Source organism: Homo sapiens, chromosome 4 (genome assembly GCF_000001405.40).
Source record: "Homo sapiens chromosome 4, GRCh38.p14 Primary Assembly".
NCBI classification, from domain to species: domain Eukaryota; kingdom Metazoa; phylum Chordata; class Mammalia; order Primates; family Hominidae; genus Homo; species Homo sapiens.
In genome coordinates this window covers 83,455,071-83,473,299 of record NC_000004.12, presented here as the reverse complement: position 1 = coordinate 83,473,299, position 18,229 = coordinate 83,455,071, and the positions used below count along the sequence as shown (strand labels likewise).

Here is an 18,229-nt window from a genome sequence, read left to right as displayed (position 1 = left end):
AAATATTGGAAATATAAATAGATGACAGAGACTGCTCTGTTGCCCAGCCTGGAGTGCAGTAGTGCCATCTCATCTCACTGCAAATTCTGCCTCCCAGGCTCAAGTGATCCTCCCACCTCGCTCTCTCTAGAAACTGGGACTACAGGCACACACCACCACACCCCAGCTAATTTTTGTATTTTTTATGTAGACAGGGTTTTGCCACATTGCGCAGGTTGGTCTCAAACTTCTGGGCTCGAGCCATCCACCCCCCTCAGCCTCCCAAAATGCTGGGATTACAAGTATGAGCCACCATGCCCTGGCAAAAATTATTTATAAAGGATTTTGTATAACATATTTAACCATCATAGAAAATATTGTTGATCTTAATGAGTGGTAAAAAGAAGAAAATATTATTTGCAGTCTCTGTTATTGGAAGGGAAAGAAAGCTGGAAGTAGAATCACTTGGAATTATCTTTTAATTCTTCCTACATTTTGGATATTCCAACTCCTGAACAAACTGTTCTAAACCAAACAAAACCTATTCCCTTCCCCCACCCCAAAAAACCCAGCCACCTCCTAAAATACATAGCTTTTGTAACTAGCAGTGAATAATAGTCTTTTTGTTATTGTGCTTCATTACTGGTTATACATTCTTTTGTATGTATCAATGTTATAAAAAATATAAATGAGTAAACTGAATGAATTGTGAACCGGTTATGTGAACTTACATTTTAATACCTGTATTTCATGGATAGTTTACTGTTTTAGGTTCAAAAAAAACGATTCCCAAAACTTGTCTCTTAAGTTACTCCTTTTTCCTTTTCATTGCTTTATGGACTTTATGTTTCTACCACTTTAAGTCAGTTAATTTGAGAACTTTCTCTACTGTTTATTTTAGGACTTCATCTGACAGGCAAATAGGTATATGGGCTTTGGTAGTTGGGTTAGGAATAACTAAAATTTAAAATACTAATAAAATTACTTATATTTTTAGCGTATTTGAAATACCTTTAATTTTGGCTTTTACAGCTTTTATAATTCTTCAGGCGAAGTAAATGAGCAAGCACTGAAGAAAATATTATCAAATGTCAAAAAGGTATTCTCTAATTTATCTTCCCTTTTTTTGGTATTATTTGCATTGTTTTTGGTTCTTAAAAACACACAGTACTTTGACAGAATTTTTAAGCAGTGTTTGACATCATAGTATCCTGTAAAGTAAGTAAGAAAAGGTTTGTTCTTCCCAGAAATTGAAAGTGGTTGCTCTGAAAATAAAACTAGTAATTAAAAATATTAATTTTGTTCTAATCCTTTCTTTGACTAATTAACATTTATCTCTTTCTCTTATATTTCCACCACACCTCTTCCCACTACCATTTATTCTGTGACCTAATCAGTTCTGTTATTTTACTTGGCTGTAGTGTTTTGGTTTTTTTTGTTTTGTTTTTTTTGAGACGGAGTCTTGCTCTGTCACCCAGGCTGGAGTGCAGTGGTGTGATCTAGGCTGACTACATCGTGCACCTCCTGGGTTCAAGCGATTCTCCTGCCTCAGCCTCCTGAATAGCTGGGATTATAGGCACCCGCCACCACACACCATGCCTGGCCTCAGTTATTATTTTTGATAGATACTGCAGGGATGTTTCCTATATAGCACTGAATTTGGATCCTCTATAACATACTTTGTGTTTGGTTAAAAGTTGTTGAATGATCAAAATGGATTTTTTCCCCAAACACAAAATTTTTTCAAGGCACTACTTTTTCTCTTAAAACTTTGATTTGAAAATAAAAATAGATTAATTGAAAGATGTTTCTTGGCTGGGCACAGTGGCTCATGCCTTTAATCCCAGTACTTTGGTAGGCTGCGGAGGGCGGATCACGAGGTCAGGAGTTCGAGACCAGCCTGACCAACACGGTGAAACCCCATCTCTACTAAAAACAGAAGAAAAAAAAAAAGCCGGGCGTAGTGGCGCATGCCTGTAATCTGAGCTACTCAGGAGGCAGAGGCAGGAGAATCACTTGAACCCGGGAGGCAGAGGTTGCAATGAGCTGAGATCGTGCCATTGCACTCCAGCCTGGGCAACAGAGCCAGACTGTCTCAAAAAAAAAAAAAAAAAAAAAAAAAAAAAAAAGATGTTTCTTTCAACAAATATGTTTGGCTGAAAATGCTTGTGTTTTTTCCCCCCAATTATTATTTGAGTATTTAAAATTGCACCTGTAAAAATGCCTTATTTTTAAAAACTAATTTTAATTTCCTCAATTCAAATGTGCAAATATATAATTTAGTTGCTGAAACTCACAGATCTCTAAGCAAAGTGATTGGTTTTCTCTTTGTCTTAAGTAAAGGAGAATTATTTTCCAAGTTAAAAAAAGGTCTAGTAGTATTAACACATTTGCTTAGTATGTTGTAGTTTACAAAATCCTTTAATGTGATCTTAATCTTGAAGCCAAGTTTGTCGGGTAGGTGATATCATTCCCATAAAAATTTTAGGTAAAAGCTGTAGGGTTCAGCTTAACTTATTTAACAAACCAAGTGTCCATACAGGCGATTAATTTATTTTCAGGGAGGGATTGCCTTTTAAGTGAATCAATGGCATTGATATTTTTTTCATTTAAATTTTGACTAAAGAGTGAGATTGCAAGATAGCAAATGCCATAAAAGAAACTACAGAAAGTCAAGAATTTATTTCTCCCTTTTAATCTATATTGATGAAAACCGTACCCTTTCAAATGAATGGAAAGTAAGTCAGTTTGTATGTTTTACAAAAGTAAAGCATATGATTAAATGTATTCTTTGTTTATATATGCCCCAAATCTTTCTAAATATTAAGAAAGCCATTTTAAGGTTGTTTATTTTATTTAATTATAATAGTAAGACATATCATTGTAACTATTAAGATGTATATCCTTTTTATTCTGTATTTCAGAATGTGGTAGGTTGGTACAAATTCCGTCGTCATTCAGATCAGATCATGACGTTTAGAGAGAGGCTGCTTCACAAAAACTTGCAGGAGCATTTTTCAAACCAAGACCTTGTTTTTCTGCTATTAACACCAAGTATAATAACAGAAAGCTGCTCTACTCATCGACTGGAACATTCCTTATATAAACCTCAAAAAGGGTAAATGTTGGCCAGTCACTGGCTGTATTAAACTAATAGAAAAATATATCTAATACTTAGTACTTTTTGCAGCTTACAAAGTGTTCTCATATATTGTCGCATCAGATTGTCACGATAACCTTCAGAAGTAGATCTTACCATCTGTTAATTTATAGGTGGGAAAATAATGGTCAGACAAGGAAATTAGAAGCCCAGTGTGGAATGATGACTTGTATTCTGGCACTGAAGATTTGCTCTTATTTACTACTTAAGGTGGAAAAAAACTTTTTTTTTAATTGATTGATAAAGGGTATAATTTAGAATTTAGAATTTAAGCCTAGATACTTCAGCAGTTTTTCTATAACTGAACAAAGAAACAAAGTAGCTCTTGATGGTCCAGTAAAATGAGTCTAACCAGGGACTCCTTACAGGTTTTATATATAGTAAACTACATTTTCGTGGAATATGAGAATTACGTTAAAAGAGTACCAACTAAGAATAATTTTATTGTTCATGGAAGATAGGGTAAATCTCAATACTGCCTTATTTATACATGTACTAATCAAAAGAGCCATTAAACTGTTTTTCCACACTATTATACTAAGCACATTTCACAGCTTTACATGTCATCTGGGCCCAGTGTGGTGACTCATACCTGTAATCCCAGCACTTTGGGAGGCCAAGGCAGGAGGATCACTGAGCAACATTAGGAGACCTCATCTCTACAAAAAACTTAAAAATTAGTCGGGTGTGGTGATGGGTGCCTGTAGTCCCAGCTACTTGGGAGGCTGAGGCAAGAGGATTGCTTGAGCACGGGAGGTTGAAGCTGCATTATTGAGCCATGATCGCACCACTGCACTGCAGCCTGGGAGACTGAGTGAGACCCTGTCTCAAAAAAAAAAAAAAACAGTTGTTTCAAGTCAGTAAATTCTATTTTGGATAAGTAGTAAAGAATGGGTTTTGGGGGGTGTATTTTTTTAAATCTTGTAGGGGACAAGTAATCTATTCCAGCAGGTAGATACTAATCTTTCTTTTCATTCTAAGTTTATACTCTAAAGTTTTATTTTGTCAGACTTTTTCACAGGGTACCTTTAGTGGTTGCCAATCTGGGCATGTCTGAACAACTGGGTTATAAAACTGTATCAGGTTCCTGTATGTCCACTGGTTTTAGCCGAGCAGTACAAACACACAGGTAAGATTCAACTGCTTTCTCACAAAACTTCTATTCATCTTTGAAATTAATTTTCTTATTTCTCAAACAACAGCAGAATAAAAATTCAAGGGAAAATTAATCCATTACTCAAGTAAACTAGGCTGTTTTTACCTTCCTCATACTCCTGTTACTGCTTGTGTACTTACAAGATACAAAAAAGGTAGTGGTTAGTCCAGGCATGGTGGCTCACACCTGCAAATCCCAGCACTTCGGGAGGCTGAGGCAGGAGGATCACTTGAGCTGAGGAGTTGGAGACTAGCCTGGGCAACACAGCAAAACCCCATCTCTACAAAAGAAAATTTAAAAAAATAGTACTGGGAGGATCTTGTTGCATATCCTGTAAAGTTTAGCATATCTATTCTAGGTTAGAATAAGTATATAGCCTAAAAATTATAATTTTCTAAGGCAATGGTTCGGATTAAAGGCGTGAAATTAGATATTTGTAAAAATCAGACTTTAGCCAAGACTCACTCATACTATAGGCTGCTTATATATAACTTTCTTTGTGGCCATTAAGTAAGGAAGTAATGTCAAAAACAGCAACACTGGTACTATAGGATACCTACTAGAGTGTAAACTTTGAGAATAAGGGGTTAGATTTTACTTACTTTTGTGTCCCCACAGTGCCAGCAGTTTAAAAACTGAATACCGTATTTCATTGATTCTGAGGTGCACATTTTCCTTTTTTTTTTTTTTTTTCTTTTAAAGACAGAGTTTCACTCTTGTTGTCCAGGCCGGGGTGTAATGGCATGATTTCAGCTCACTGCAACCTGTCCTTCCCAGGTTCAAGTGATTCTCCTGCTTCAGCCTCCTGAGTAGCTGGGATTACAGGCATGCACCACCATGCCCGGCTAATTTTGTATTTTTTTTAGTAGAGACGGGGTTTCTCCATGTTGGTCAGGCTGGTCTCAAACTCCCGACCTCAGGTGATCCGCCTGCCTCAGCCTCCCAAAGTGTTGGGATTACAGGCGTGAGCCACCGCGCCCGGCAAGATGCACATTTTTCATATTTATCTCTGACATTGGGATGTCCTACAAGTCATGCCTTCTTAGAATTACTTTCTTCATTATTTTATGGATCATAAAATAATGATGTCTCTTTCAAGTAAAGGTAACTTGAATTCAGTAAAATATTTTAAAAATTGACTCCGGTTCCCATTGCCAATAGAGACTTTTTTTCCTTCCTTCAATTTTTATCTATTTTTATGCAATCTTCCCCCATCCCCCGCCCATCCTCGCCTTTTTGGGAGACCTGGCAATAGTACTTAGGAGGCTAAAAAGTTTGCTAATGTGAAGATCAATGAAGTAGGTTTTGTGGTTGGTTTTTCTCTATACACATAGATTGACAAAATTATGGTTCCTACAAAACCAGTAAAAAGACTCTTCTATTGGTCCTTGACAATGAATAAGTTTTTCACCTTATCATTAAAATGGTTTTGTGTATTTGCCTGAGGAAATGGTAATTTTTTACAGCTCTAAATTTTTTGAAGAAGATGGATCCTTAAAGGAGGTACATAAGATAAATGAAATGTATGCTTCATTACAAGAGGAATTAAAGGTAAGTTAACATATCAAACACGTCAACCACTTCTAGATAGAGTTCATATCAAGTTAATGACTGACATTTTTTAGGATAACCTGACATCTTGATTAGATTTATACAGTTATGAGTTGCTTAATGAAGGCTATGTACCTTCTGAGAAATGTGTCATTAGGCAGTTTTATCATTGTGCAAACATATACTTACACAAACCTATATGTATTTTTACTTTTTAGTTTTCATAGGGAAAACCAAATGTCCCCAAATTATTATTGAATATCAGTCATTTCCCCTATTTGATCTGTAATGCCAATATCAAGTGCTATATATCAGCTTTCTATATGTGCTCCAATATAATCTTGTGAGACCCCATCATAGATGCTGTCCCTTGTTGAACGAGATGTCATTATTCCTTTAGCTTCATTGACTGAGTTGTATTTCTTCAGCTGTAGTTAACAAAGATTGCAATCTCAGTGGCTTACAACAACTATGGTTTAGTCTTGCTCACATTTTATCTTGGCTGTAGCTCTACTCCTTTTCTGAATGTCATCTTCATCCAGGATCCAGGCTGAAGGAGCAGCCCTTATTTGGGACATGTCCTCATGGCATAAGGCAAAGAGCAAGAAAGCTAGTGGAGCCAGGCGCAGTGGCTCACGCCTGTAATCCCAGCACTTTGGGAGGCCGAGGTGGGCGGATCACGAGATCAGGAGATCGAGACCATCCTGGCTAACACAGTGAAACCCCGTCTCTACTAAAAATACAAAAAAAATTAGCCGGGCATGGTGGTGGGCGCCTGTAGTCCCAGCTACTCGGGTGGCTGAGGCAGGAGAATGGCGTGAACCCAGGAGATGGAGCTTGCAGTGAGCCAAGATCGTGCCACTGCACTCCAGCCTGGGCAACAGAACGAGACTCCGTCTCAAAAAAAAAAAAAACTAGTGGAAATTCACAACAGCTCTTAAAACTTTGCTTAAAACGGCCATGTCACTTCTACTCACATTTCACTGGCCTGAACACATCACATGGTAATAGGCAGGGATATATAATCCTTCTTACAGAATAGAGGGAAGTATATTTGGGAACAGTATACTTCCCTCTACTTCATGTGTCAGTTCTTCTTCATGTGTCAGTTCAGGTCCTTTTAGAACTAGATGTCAAGATGGGATTATAAGTGCAGGAGATTTATTGGGCCTGAGAAGGATAAAGAAGAGGAAGAAAGAACAGGCAGGAAGAGCCTTCAGACAACACTGCAAGTCTGACCCCTGAGAAAGGAGAGGGGGATAAGAAGACAAGTGGTTAGGAAGAGTCTCAGACTGCAGCGCCATTTTAAGAACGTTCCACTAGGCTGATAGGGAGTCTTTGAGCAAAGTTGCCCGAAAATTGTTCTATAGGCATGGACTTGCACTAATACCTGCAGTGTGCTTAGTCATTGGCTAGGAACAGCCCAGGGGAAGTGTGGCTTAACACAGTGGTAGGTCCAAAGCTGGGGCTGTTAAGTCAACTATGCTTCCCCCAGTTGGAGATCTTACTAAGGAGTATATTTCCATGGCCACCACACTCATCAGTAGAGCACACTAACAGAAAAGCAGTTAAAATAAATATTTTGATTCATATTACACTACTTTTTCATATGAAACGGGAATTTTAGATGGTAAAAACATCCAGAATCTCACCATCTTATTTTTTAGAGACAGTGTCTTGCTCTGTTACCCAGGCTGGAGAGCAATGGCATGATCTCAGCTCACTACAACCACCACCTCTTGGGCTCAAGTGATCCTCCTCTTTCAGCCTCCAGAGTAGCTGAAACCACAGGTGTGCACCACTACACCCAGCTAATTTTTTGTATTTTGTGTAAAGACAGGATTTCACCATGTTGCCAGGCTGGTCTCCATCCCCTGCGCTCAAGCAATCCACCTTCCTTGGCCTCCCAAAGTACTGGGATTACAGGTGTGAGCCACCACATCCAGCCTGGAATCTCACCATTTTAACATAACTATTTTCACTCTGCCATTTGCTCCAGTTTTTCCTTAATATATGTATACTTTGATATAGTCAATAGTCATGGTGACATAAATTTGTCATGATTTTTAAAAAACTTGGTACATAAAACATTGTTTCTGTTGCTACATATTCTTTAGTTGTTTTTAGTTTCTTCTTTTTTTTTTTTTTTTTTTTGAGACAGAGTCTCAGTGTGTCGCCTGGACTGGAGTGCAATGAATGGCATGATCTTGGCTCACTGTAACCTCCGCCTCCCTGGTTCAAGAGATTCTCTTGTCTCAGCCTCCCAAGTAGCTGAGATTACACGCACCCACCACTACGCCAGGCTAATTTTTGTATTTTAAGTAGAGACAGGGTTTCGCCATGTTGGCCAGGTTGGTCTCGAACCCAAGACCTCAGGTTATCTACCTGCCTCAGCCTCCCAAAGTGCTGGGATCACAGGTGTGAGCCACCTTGCCCGGCCTCTTTATTTTTAATGGCAGTATATTTCATAGAGAATGTTATGGAAAAATACCAACTTGGGCTAAAATAGGGAATGTAGAGGTATATCATAAGAACTGTAGGCAGAAAGCAGCTGAACTTTAGGAAGGAATTGGAACCAGGAGCTAGAATGCCATAGAACTTTCTGTGTCTGCACATTGCTATCCTTCCAGACCTTTTTGTTTCTTCATCCACTGGCAGGCCAGAAAACAGCCAACCCACAGCTCCTGCATTTAGATCTCTTCTAGAGCATAAGATCTGCCAATTGGCTATGTAATACCTCCAGATTGCCAGGCAAGAATCTCATTGGTTCTGTTTGGGTCAGCTCTGGTGAAAGGTGGGTACAGGGGTAACTGGCAAACTCTTATGTCAGGGCAAAAAAAGTTTGTAAAAAGTAGGCTTGGCAGACATCCTAAAAAGTGTCCACTAAAACTGGCAAAACAACTATTACCCTACAGTTGGAAATTAGTTGCTTTTTTTACTAATTAGTTGTTCTCCCCTCCCCCAGTTGTTTTATGTTATACTAAGAAACATCATCTTATATTTTTGTTGTTATTCAGATATATTCCCAAATGGAATTATGGCATCAAAAGTTACTGGTATTCATACTTTTAAAACTAAAGACACACAGAAGTGATCTGCTTTTCAAAAGTAGTTTCTCTTACAGGAAAAAATCTTCAATAGTATCCTTTCGTAATAGTAAGATAGTCACTTTGTTTCACTTACTGTGAGTTTCTTAGTGTTAAATTTATGCAGTAACTCTGCATCTGTATTTTTTTTGTTTCAAAGTTTTTTTGTTTGTTTTTGTTTGAGACAGGGTCTCACTCTGTCGCCCAGGCTGGAGTGCAGTGGTGCAATTTTGGCTCACTGCAACCTCTGCTTCCTGGGTTCAAGCGATTCACCTGCCTCAGTCTCCTGAGTAGCTGGGACTACAGGCATGCATCACCACACCTGGATAATTTTTTATATTTTTAGTAGAGACAGGGTTTCACCATGTTGCCCAGGCTGGTCTCGAACTCCTGAGCTCAGGTAGTCTACCCACCTCAGCCTCCCAAAGTGCTGGGATTACAGGCGTGAGCCACCGCAGCTGGCCCATGAGTTAATATTTCAGTTTATTTCTGTATATTTTCAGCGAACTAACTGGCATGATAAAAGCTGTATAAATGAGAAGTTACATGTGAAAAAGCATTTTACAACCTATAAGGCTTATTTATAACCTACAAGTGCTTGTTACTGACATCCTCCAGAAAATAAATAAAATTTATATAAAAGGCAAATAGTTTTGGGTATTATATACCACCAATGATTTTATATTATTTGTGAATCTAGACTGTATTAGTACACAGCTTGAAATATTACCTATGCCCTTAAATTACTTTATTTTGCAGAGTATATGCAAAAAAGTGGAAGACAGTGAACAAGCAGTAGATAAACTAGTAAAGGATGTAAACAGATTAAAACGAGAAATTGAGAAAAGGAGAGGAGCACAGATTCAGGCAGCAAGTAAGTAAACAACACATCTCTACTTTCTGTGCTAAAAATTTTTATTTATTTATTTATTTTTGAGACGGAGTCTCGCTCTGTCGCCTAGGTTGGAGTGCAAAGGTGTGATCTCAGCTTACTGCAACCTCTGCCTCCTGGGGTCAAGCGATTCTCCTGCCTCAGCCTCCTGAAACGCTGGGATTCCAGGTGCCTGCCACCATGCCTGGCTAATTTTTTTTGTATTTTTAATAGAGACAGGGTTTCACCATGTTGGCCAGGCTGGTCTTGAACTTCTGACCTCAAGTGATCCACCCGCCTCAGCCTCCCAAAGTGCTGGGATTATAGGTGTGAGCCACTGCGCTCGGCCCTTTCTGTGCTTTTAAAGAACATAATACTATGGTAGCTATATTGCTGACATGAAAGAACACAACTTTAATTTTGTCTTAGAATACTGTGGCATATAAATTAGAATTCAGAATTATGTATGTTATCCTCACTTTAGATAATACAACTGTTAAAATCTTTTTGACTTAATTTTACTTACAAATAGTTAATTATAAAAGCTTTGTAGAAGAAATGTTATATGTTGAACTGTTATTCTATTTTGTTTAGGAGAGAAGAACATCCAAAAAGACCCTCAGGAGAACATTTTTCTTTGTCAGGCATTACGGACCTTTTTTCCAAATTCTGAATTTCTTCATTCATGTGTTATGTCTTTAAAAAATAGACATGTTTCTAAAAGTAGCTGTAACTACAACCACCATCTCGATGTAGTAGACAATCTGACCTTAATGGTAGAACACACTGACATTCCTGAAGCTAGTCCAGCTAGTACACCACAAATCATTAAGCATAAAGCCTTAGACTTAGATGACAGATGGCAATTCAAGAGATCTCGGTTGTTAGATACACAAGACAAACGATCTAAAGCAGATACTGGTAGTAGTAACCAAGATAAAGCATCCAAAATGAGCAGCCCAGAAACAGATGAAGAAATTGAAAAGATGAAGGGTTTTGGTGAATATTCACGGTCTCCTACATTTTGATCCTTTTAACCTTACAAGGAGATTTTTTTATTTGGCTGATGGGTAAAGCCAAACATTTCTATTGTTTTTACTATGTTGAGCTACTTGCAGTAAGTTCATTTGTTTTTACTATGTTCACCTGTTTGCAGTAATACACAGATAACTCTTAGTGCATTTACTTCACAAAGTACTTTTTCAAACATCAGATGCTTTTATTTCCAAACCTTTTTTTCACCTTTCACTAAGTTGTTGAGGGGAAGGCTTACACAGACACATTCTTTAGAATTGGAAAAGTGAGACCAGGCACAGTGGCTCACACCTGTAATCCCAGCACTTAGGGAAGACAAGTCAGGAGGATTGATTGAAGTTAGGAGTTAGAGACCAGCCTGGGCAACGTATTGAGACCATGTCTATTAAAAAATAAAATGGAAAAGCAAGAATAGCCTTATTTTCAAAATATGGAAAGAAATTTATATGAAAATTTATCTGAGTCATTAAAATTCTCCTTAAGTGATACTTTTTTAGAAGTACATTATGGCTAGAGTTGCCAGATAAAATGCTGGATATCATGCAATAAATTTGCAAAACATCATCTAAAATTTAAATTTGTCCTACATTTGTACTTGCTAAATCTGGCAGCCTTAATTATTACACAACTATAACACAACACAAACAGTAATCTCTCCCCTAGTTTAGAGTCCTTTGCATGAAATTTAGCAAATCTATCATTTTGAATACAGTACAAGCCTGGTAATCCAGTGTATTTGGGATAGGCCAGTGGAACTCAGAACTGATACATATATACATGTATGTCTATCATATTCAATGTCTATTAGGTGTAAATCATCTCTTCATGTAAAAGACACTACTGGTTTGAGGGTAGACTCGTCTAGGAATATTTTGTCCTTCTGTGACAGCACCACTATCCATCCCAATGTAACATTTCTACAAAGGGAAGATATCTTAACCAGGCATACTTATATTTGCTAGTTGGAAAATCATTCTGAACAGTTTTAATTCCATTCTATTGAATGGATTATTGTATGAGCTATTTGGGGATCAGATATAAATGACAATCACACAGAACCACTTTTATTCAACATAGATAAAATGTGATGAGTGTTAACATTTTAAATAAGCAATCTGCTTAATGGACATTGGTATGAAGGGGAAGTGTCATTCTTTACCTCACTCCTCAAACACTTTTCTATCCAAAGGTTGGTTTGAGTCAGTATTGGCATCATACAACCACTTACTGTAAAATAAGTTTATTAGTGGTAACGTGATAGAATTTATTCCCGATATCTGATGTTACAAACTTTAGGGTCCTTGAGATATGCAGGATCCTTGTATGTAACTGGCATAAACCCTGTAAAGAGATAATTAAAGTTCTTGACAAAACATAATGAGCAAAATTTCAGCTAGCTCAATTCAGTTGTTGAGGTATTCTTTCTTACCCATTATTTGAGCTCTCTTAATTGCTTTTGTGATTTCTTTCTGTTTCTTCCCACAAAGACCTGTAAAATAAAAAGCTTTCTTATTCATAAAAAATGTCAATATTTAAAGTTTGCAATTTTTTTTTTTGAGATGGAGTCTCCCTGTGTCACCCAGGCTGGAGTACAGTGGTGCTCTCTCGCCTCACTGCAACCTCCGCCACCCAGGCTCAATCGATTATCTTGCCTCAGCCTCCTTAGTAACTGGAATTACAGGCATGCACCGCCACACCCGGATAATTTTTTTGTATTTGTAGTAGAAACGGGGTTTCACCATATTGGCCAGGCTGGTCCTGAACTCCTGGCCTCAGGTGATCTGCCCACCTCAGCCTCCCAAAGTGCTGGGATTACAGGTGTGAGCCAACATGCCCAGCCTCAACAAGTTTTTAAGTCAAGGATTGGTAAATCATTTTTGTCAAGGGCCACAATAATAATCTAGGTTTTGTGGGCCATACAGTCTCCATCACTGCCACTCAACTCTGCTGTTGTAGCTCGAAAACAACCATATGGCACTACGTAAACAAAACTACAAAAACAAGTGGGGTTGGGTGCAGTGGCTCACACCTGTAATCCCAGCACTTTGGGAGGCCTAGGCAGGTGGATCACCTGAGGTCAGGAATTCAAGACCAGCCTGGCCAACATGGAGAAACCCAATCTCTAAAAATACAAAAATTAGCCAGGCGTGGTGGTGCATGCCTGTAATCCCAGCTATTCGGGAGGCTGAAGCATGAGAATCACTTGAACCCAGGAGGCAGAGGTTGCAGTGAGCCGAGATTGTGCCACAGCACTCCAGCCTGGGTGACAGTGAGATTCCATCTCAAAAAAAAAAAAAAGTGGCATTTGTATATGATGAACCTAATCAAGATAAAAAGGGAGCAGGTCGAATTTGGCCTATGGGCCATAGTTTGCTGACACCAAGTTTAAGTATCAATCTAGGAATGATTATAGTATATTCCAAAACATCAACAACAGTTTTTTAAAGCCCAGTTTTTCTATATAGTTAACTCTGCATAAGACAGCAAAATAATAATCCTCTTGGCCTAAGAGACTTTTTCATAGTAACTAGCTCTAGTCCCTGTAGTATCTGATCTAGTAGTAATTTATAGCACAATTTGAAAATTTGAGTTTTCTTAAATGATAGAAATAGATTGATATAATTCGTATCTACATTTATATTCCCATAATAAAAAAGAACATACCTGTAATGTGCCTTCCATAAATGCATCCAGTAAATGGAGAAACAAACTGGGACAAAAGCTGTTTTGGAGTTTTATGTGGAGGGGAAAAAAAAGTATCTGTTATTTATTTCTGAATGTGTAAATTTCAAAAAACAACCTTCAGGTTATATAAAGCTTTACTAAATTTCAGACACATTTCATAAAATATAAGAAAAAAATATTGTTATCCTCCTGTTACCTTTTAAATATTTTCTATCCAGTGTGTCAAGTCTATATATAATTAAACAGCAGATTAATCAGCATATTCATTCAATGGTAAATCTGTTTTCTTGACTTCCACAGATACCTTTCTAAAATATTGCTTGAAACAAGCTACTAAAAAATTTCATCTATCCTGACAAGCTATCACATTACCCTCTGATAATCATTAAGATAAATTATCAGGGGGTAATGAGATTTTCAAGAGGTACAAGTACACCAGGCATTTGCTATAATTTATGTTTTATTTAAATACTTCTTTAGAACCTTTCTAGGTGCTAGTCATTATTCTTGGCACTTTGCATAATCTTCCTAGTATGTGTGTTTTTGTAATTCTTGGTTCTTCCTCAAAGGCAGCTATCACTTTATACTATTGTCAATATATGGAATTCTTTTTTTTTTTTTTTTTTTTTTTTGACAGAGTTTTACTCTTGTCACCCAGGCTGGAGTGCAATGGCACGATCTCAGCTCACTGCAACTTCCGCCTCCTGGGTTCAAGCAAATCTCCTGCCTCAGCCTCCCAAGTAGCTGGGATTACAGGCATGCACCACCACACTCAGCTAATTTTTGTATTTTTAATAGAGACGGGGTTTCACCACATTGGCCAGGCTGGTCTCAAACTCCTGACCTCAGGTGATCCGCCCGCCTTGGCCTCCCAAAGTGCTGGGATTACAGGCGTGAGCCACCACACCCAGCCAACATACAGAATTCTAGCGCTATTCACTTGCCCCAAATTTGCAACTTCTAACTTGCTGAGAGTTAGACAAGAGATAAGTAATATGTGAATCAGTGATATGGGTGGTGAGATAAAGAGATCAGCTTCACCAGATGAGCTTTTTCCAAAGTTCTGACCCTCACCAATTGAGAATTACTGCCACAGGGAGCTATTAAGATGTTTGGGGTAGTGAAAAAAACAGAGTGGAAATAACAGTAAGTGGGGGAAAGCCAAGGTGCTTTTACTTGAATAAAGCAGAGATAAGCTTATACATAGAATTATAACCAAATTTGAAATTATGAAGTTGCTAAAACAGTTACCTCTACAAAAGCCTGCTATAAACTGACTTGATTCTCTTTAAGCAGATCTATCAGAAGCAAAACCCTAAAATATAGTGAAGTAAAACCAGATCTCACCTGTACATTCTTATAATCTACATGCTTTCCACACAAGATACATTTCTTAAGAGGTTCTTTATAAGGATTTTCCATTGAAATGGGCTAGGGAAAAAAACGAAAAGTCTGATAATAGGATGTGTTAATTCTGAATTTTAAAAGGTTACTATTCTACATTCAAATCCATTCAAAGGATTAGTTATACCTTTCTTACTGTGTACATATTTTGTATAAGCACTTTATTTTGTTTTAGTTTAGCCTACGGATTAACGCATGGGAAGATTCTGGAATAAAGTACAATCTTCATAGAATAAAATTTTATGGCAGAACAAAAATGATGTCTGATAAGAAAGTGTTCCAATGCTTTGCTCAGATTGTAGATAATGAAAAAATTTTTAGATTTAAGGAAACTTACAACACAATAGATAACATATGCCATTCTTAAATGAGTACAATCCCTAATTTATCCATCCCCATGTCTCTATCAAGTATTTTATCACTATTTTTATACACAGATAATGGCCCATGACTTACTGTAATAAAAGGTTCTTTGACTTTATCACCCCAGGCTACTATATAAGTTTGTATCAGTCTTTTTGGCTTTTCTGTTACCACCACTGCCTCTAATGCTTTTGTCACAGTGCCTCCTTCCTACAGTCAGTATGGCTGTCTCCAGGATAGAGGTTCTTAATCTAGAAATGGCTTTGAAGCCCATGACTCCCTGTAATCGTATGCAAAACTTCAAATGAATGGGACTGTGTGCCTTTTTCTGTGGAGAGGGTCCATAACTTTGATTAGAGACAAAGTGGGATTTATGAACTAAAAAAGAAATAATGTCCCTTTACTTTCTTAAAGTATGGTGCATGGATTAGATTACCAAGACAGATGCTCAGAGAAACTAGACAAGTTCTTTTGTTTTTTCCAATTCCTCAAACTTTCCAATTTACATTCAGCTCACGTAACTACTCTTCAGCTCTGTGCCAAGTGCTTTGTATGGTCTAATTAGTGTCAAAATACCTTTGCATGTAGCAAGAACCTGTGCTTTCAGAAAGTCCATGTTAATACTATAGCCAACCTATAGCTAAGCTTTGTACAGTCTCTTTTCAGTTATCTAAAATTCTGCTCACCCAAACTACCTTTTAAAATTCCCATATCATTTGCTTACAAAGGGCTATGTAAAAAAAAAAAAAACAATTCCCAAATCACATATCCTTAAATTTAAGATCTAGGAAGAAAAATATGGTATTATAGCAGCTTTGCTTCTAATCTAGGAATTCCCCTACTTCAAAACTCAGCTGACTACATGACTACAATCAATTCATCATCATTTCTGAACTCAGAGTAATTATCAAATTGTTTTGTCCTACGGCAGAACTCTATTCAAGTAGCTAAAATAAAAGATGTTAGAGTCTAATACCAGATCTCGTTTTAAAAAGAAAAACATTTTGGTCATATTTGCAAAGGCCTTACTAATAGAAAAAAAAATTCTTACCAGGTCCTCATTGCTGGATACCTGTTGTGAACAACCTCTTCTCCAAAGCACTGCGATTAAACAGAAACAGCAATTAACCATTTCTTTTTCTTAGCTGAATAGCTAAAGATTTTTGTTTTTATGGAGACAGGATGAATTAAGGGACACGATATTAAAGAAAGGTTTTGTATTATATTCAGAATGGTTAAAAACTTTTATATTTGGGACAGAGTAAGACTCAACATGGGTGTGCTTTCCAGGGCTTAGGGGGAAAAGAACATATTTTCCCGCCCATACCTGCTCTTTCTGACATTTATTTTCCCTTCATTCCATGGTTAGAGAAAATTCTTAATGCAAATTCTTATAGGAGAAGCAACAGAAAGGCACTGTCATACCAAAAAGAAAGTAACAGACCCGTCCCAGAAAGAATTTATAGAGAAGCACAGAGAAGATAAAATTGCAAAAATTATGCAATTTTGTTCTGTTTGGGGACCTTAGACATCTGGAATTTGCTGCTGGGCGACTCTGGAAATGTCCCTTCCTCACTAAGATTATCCAGAGATCTTAGGAAAGTCTCTGCTTTTTAAGAACCACTCCAACTTCCTCATACGTTTAAATACTTTAAAGGAGTGGATTAGACGACACTAAAACAGTCAAAGGCAATTACAGATTCCCACCCATCTTGGAGAAACTTAATCGCCTAGAAACCAGAGTCGTTTTGCTAACAGGGACGACTCTAACCATTAGGACTAAGGTTAATGCCTGCAGCGCTACAATGGAGCATAGGATATGGAGACTTTACCCGTGTGAGTCCCGGGATGTGTAAGGCTGACAGCAGCCGTTACCAAGTGTGTCAACTTCTTCCTCCCTAGACCACCGCAAACAGCAACCACAGCGGCCATGGTTCCGCGTTTCTTCCACTTCCTTTCGTTCCAAATCGTTCCGAAAGGCCCCTTCCGCTGCTCTTCCCCTGTGGGCTCGAGTACCCCGTTCAAAGGTTCCGCAGGAGAACGCTGAGGACCCGCGAGAGTAGGTGAGGTTTTTCAATACGCATGCGCAGCACCTTTCTGTTCGTGCCCTCCCTACGCGGCAGGTCACGTGAGGCTTATGATTGGACAGGGTAGAAGTTTATGCGTGCTTCCGGTCCGCGAGCCCTGAGAGCTAACTTGGGGTCTTTTCCCAAGGTGGATGTAGAAGCGGGCTCCGGCGTCCCACTCTCCCTTCCATATGGGCTTAGCGTCTGGGTCACTGAGAACGACGTCTGAATAGGGCCCTGGGTCCTTGCCATGGATGAATGTGGTTCCCGCATCCGCCGGCGGGTGTCTCTCCCCAAAAGGAACCGTCCAAGCTTGGGGTGTATTTTTGGCGCTCCCACCGCGGCCGAGCTCGTGCCCGGAGATGAGGGGAAAGAGGAGGAGGAAATGGTGGCTGAGAACAGGAGGCGGAAAACCGCGGGCGTACTGCCGGTTGAGGTACAGCCCCTTCTACTCTCAGATTCCCCGGAATGTCTCGTCCTTGGAGGTGGTGATACAAACCCGGACCTCCTACGTCACATGCCCACTGACAGAGGGGTGGGAGACCAGGTACGGAGGACTTGGAACTTGAAACTGCAAACTTTTGGCATCCTTCCCAGATGCAAAGAGTTGACCAGTTTTATCGCCTTCGTTTACTTCTCTCGTCTTCGTTACCACTGTTAATCGGCACTTAGGAGGTATTGATTGCCTTGTTATTTACATTTCTATATAAATATGAAATGTAAACCCCGAGACATAAAAGTTGTGCACGCAGCAGTTAAGTGGCATGACTGAGACACAAATCTAGGCTTCCAGATAACTGCAGCTCCTACTGTACAAATAAAATCTGCTGTTTATTGAAGACCCGTTATGTTAAGCTAGTTATATTATCTAGA

At 38.5% G+C, this 18,229-nt stretch overlaps 3 protein-coding genes across 14 annotated transcripts in view, besides 5 other annotated features; 2 read left to right on the top strand and 1 right to left on the bottom strand.

Annotated features, from left to right (window-relative positions):
- ABRAXAS1 (abraxas 1, BRCA1 A complex subunit) overlaps nucleotides 1-13,783 on the top strand; it is a 25,584-nt gene extending 11,801 nt beyond the window's left edge. Inside the window, exons 4-9 of one of the 3 annotated variants that reach the window (XR_001741334.3) lie at nucleotides 1,012-1,078; nucleotides 2,904-3,097; nucleotides 4,149-4,268; nucleotides 5,762-5,846; nucleotides 8,505-8,640; nucleotides 9,692-9,779. Coding sequence is in view for 2 of the 3 variants with exons in the window: in NM_139076.3 (NP_620775.2) it covers nucleotides 1,012-1,078; nucleotides 2,904-3,097; nucleotides 4,149-4,268; nucleotides 5,762-5,846; nucleotides 9,692-9,806; nucleotides 10,398-10,831 (1,015 nt within the window). In the remaining variant the exon portion in view is untranslated. Of the gene's footprint in view, nucleotides 1-1,011; nucleotides 1,079-2,903; nucleotides 3,098-4,148; nucleotides 4,269-5,761; nucleotides 5,847-8,504; nucleotides 8,641-9,691; nucleotides 9,807-10,397 lie in introns of those variants that run through there. The other 2 variants (NM_139076.3, NM_001345962.2) reach the window with 2 other exon arrangements.
- Nucleotides 11,002-17,242, bottom strand: MRPS18C (mitochondrial ribosomal protein S18C). 4 transcript variants are annotated; one of them, NM_016067.4, is made up of 6 exons: nucleotides 17,123-17,242; nucleotides 16,342-16,391; nucleotides 14,871-14,954; nucleotides 13,503-13,560; nucleotides 12,268-12,327; nucleotides 11,002-12,179 (listed from the first exon to the last, which is right to left on the bottom strand). In NM_016067.4, the coding sequence occupies exons 1-6, from the start codon at nucleotides 17,220-17,222 to the stop codon at nucleotides 12,103-12,105; spliced, it is 429 nt and encodes a 142-aa protein (NP_057151.1). In that variant the 5' UTR covers nucleotides 17,223-17,242; the 3' UTR covers nucleotides 11,002-12,102. The 4 variants fall into 4 exon arrangements, with proteins under 4 accessions (NP_057151.1, NP_001284698.1, NP_001284696.1 ...); NM_001297769.2 differs by lacking the exon at nucleotides 13,503-13,560; NM_001297767.2 differs by lacking the exon at nucleotides 14,871-14,954.
- Nucleotides 17,190-17,484: an enhancer, noted in NCBI's record as "tiled region #5990; HepG2 Activating DNase unmatched - State 1:Tss, and K562 Activating DNase unmatched - State 1:Tss". NCBI's record gives its function as "activates a minimal TATA promoter and a strong SV40 promoter by Sharpr-MPRA in HepG2 and K562 cells {active_cell/tissue: HepG2 | K562}" and the evidence as "EXISTENCE:reporter gene assay evidence [ECO:0000049][PMID:27701403]".
- Nucleotides 17,190-18,229: a biological region, named in NCBI's record as "Sharpr-MPRA regulatory region 5990".
- Nucleotides 17,399-18,229: an enhancer, noted in NCBI's record as "NANOG-H3K27ac-H3K4me1 hESC enhancer chr4:84376224-84377054 (GRCh37/hg19 assembly coordinates)". NCBI's record gives its function as "activates a minimal SCP1, AML or CMV promoter by ChIP-STARR-seq in naive H9 embryonic stem cells {active_cell/tissue: H9 hESC(naive)}" and the evidence as "EXISTENCE:reporter gene assay evidence [ECO:0000049][PMID:30033119]".
- The window catches only part of HELQ (helicase, POLQ like), a 48,538-nt gene continuing 47,725 nt past the window's right edge, over nucleotides 17,417-18,229 (top strand). For 5 of the 7 annotated variants that reach the window (NM_001297755.2, NM_001297757.2, NM_133636.5 and 2 more), the window contains exon 1: nucleotides 17,477-17,903. In NM_001297755.2, coding sequence (NP_001284684.2) covers nucleotides 17,607-17,903 — 297 coding nt within the window. In that variant the 5' untranslated portion in view covers nucleotides 17,477-17,606. 7 annotated transcript variants of the gene reach the window in all.
- Nucleotides 17,471-17,580: an enhancer, noted in NCBI's record as "active region_21688". NCBI's record gives its function as "activates an Ori minimal core promoter by ATAC-STARR-seq in GM12878 lymphoblastoid cells {active_cell/tissue: GM12878}" and the evidence as "EXISTENCE:reporter gene assay evidence [ECO:0000049][PMID:35858748]".
- Nucleotides 17,921-17,970: an enhancer, noted in NCBI's record as "active region_21687". NCBI's record gives its function as "activates an Ori minimal core promoter by ATAC-STARR-seq in GM12878 lymphoblastoid cells {active_cell/tissue: GM12878}" and the evidence as "EXISTENCE:reporter gene assay evidence [ECO:0000049][PMID:35858748]".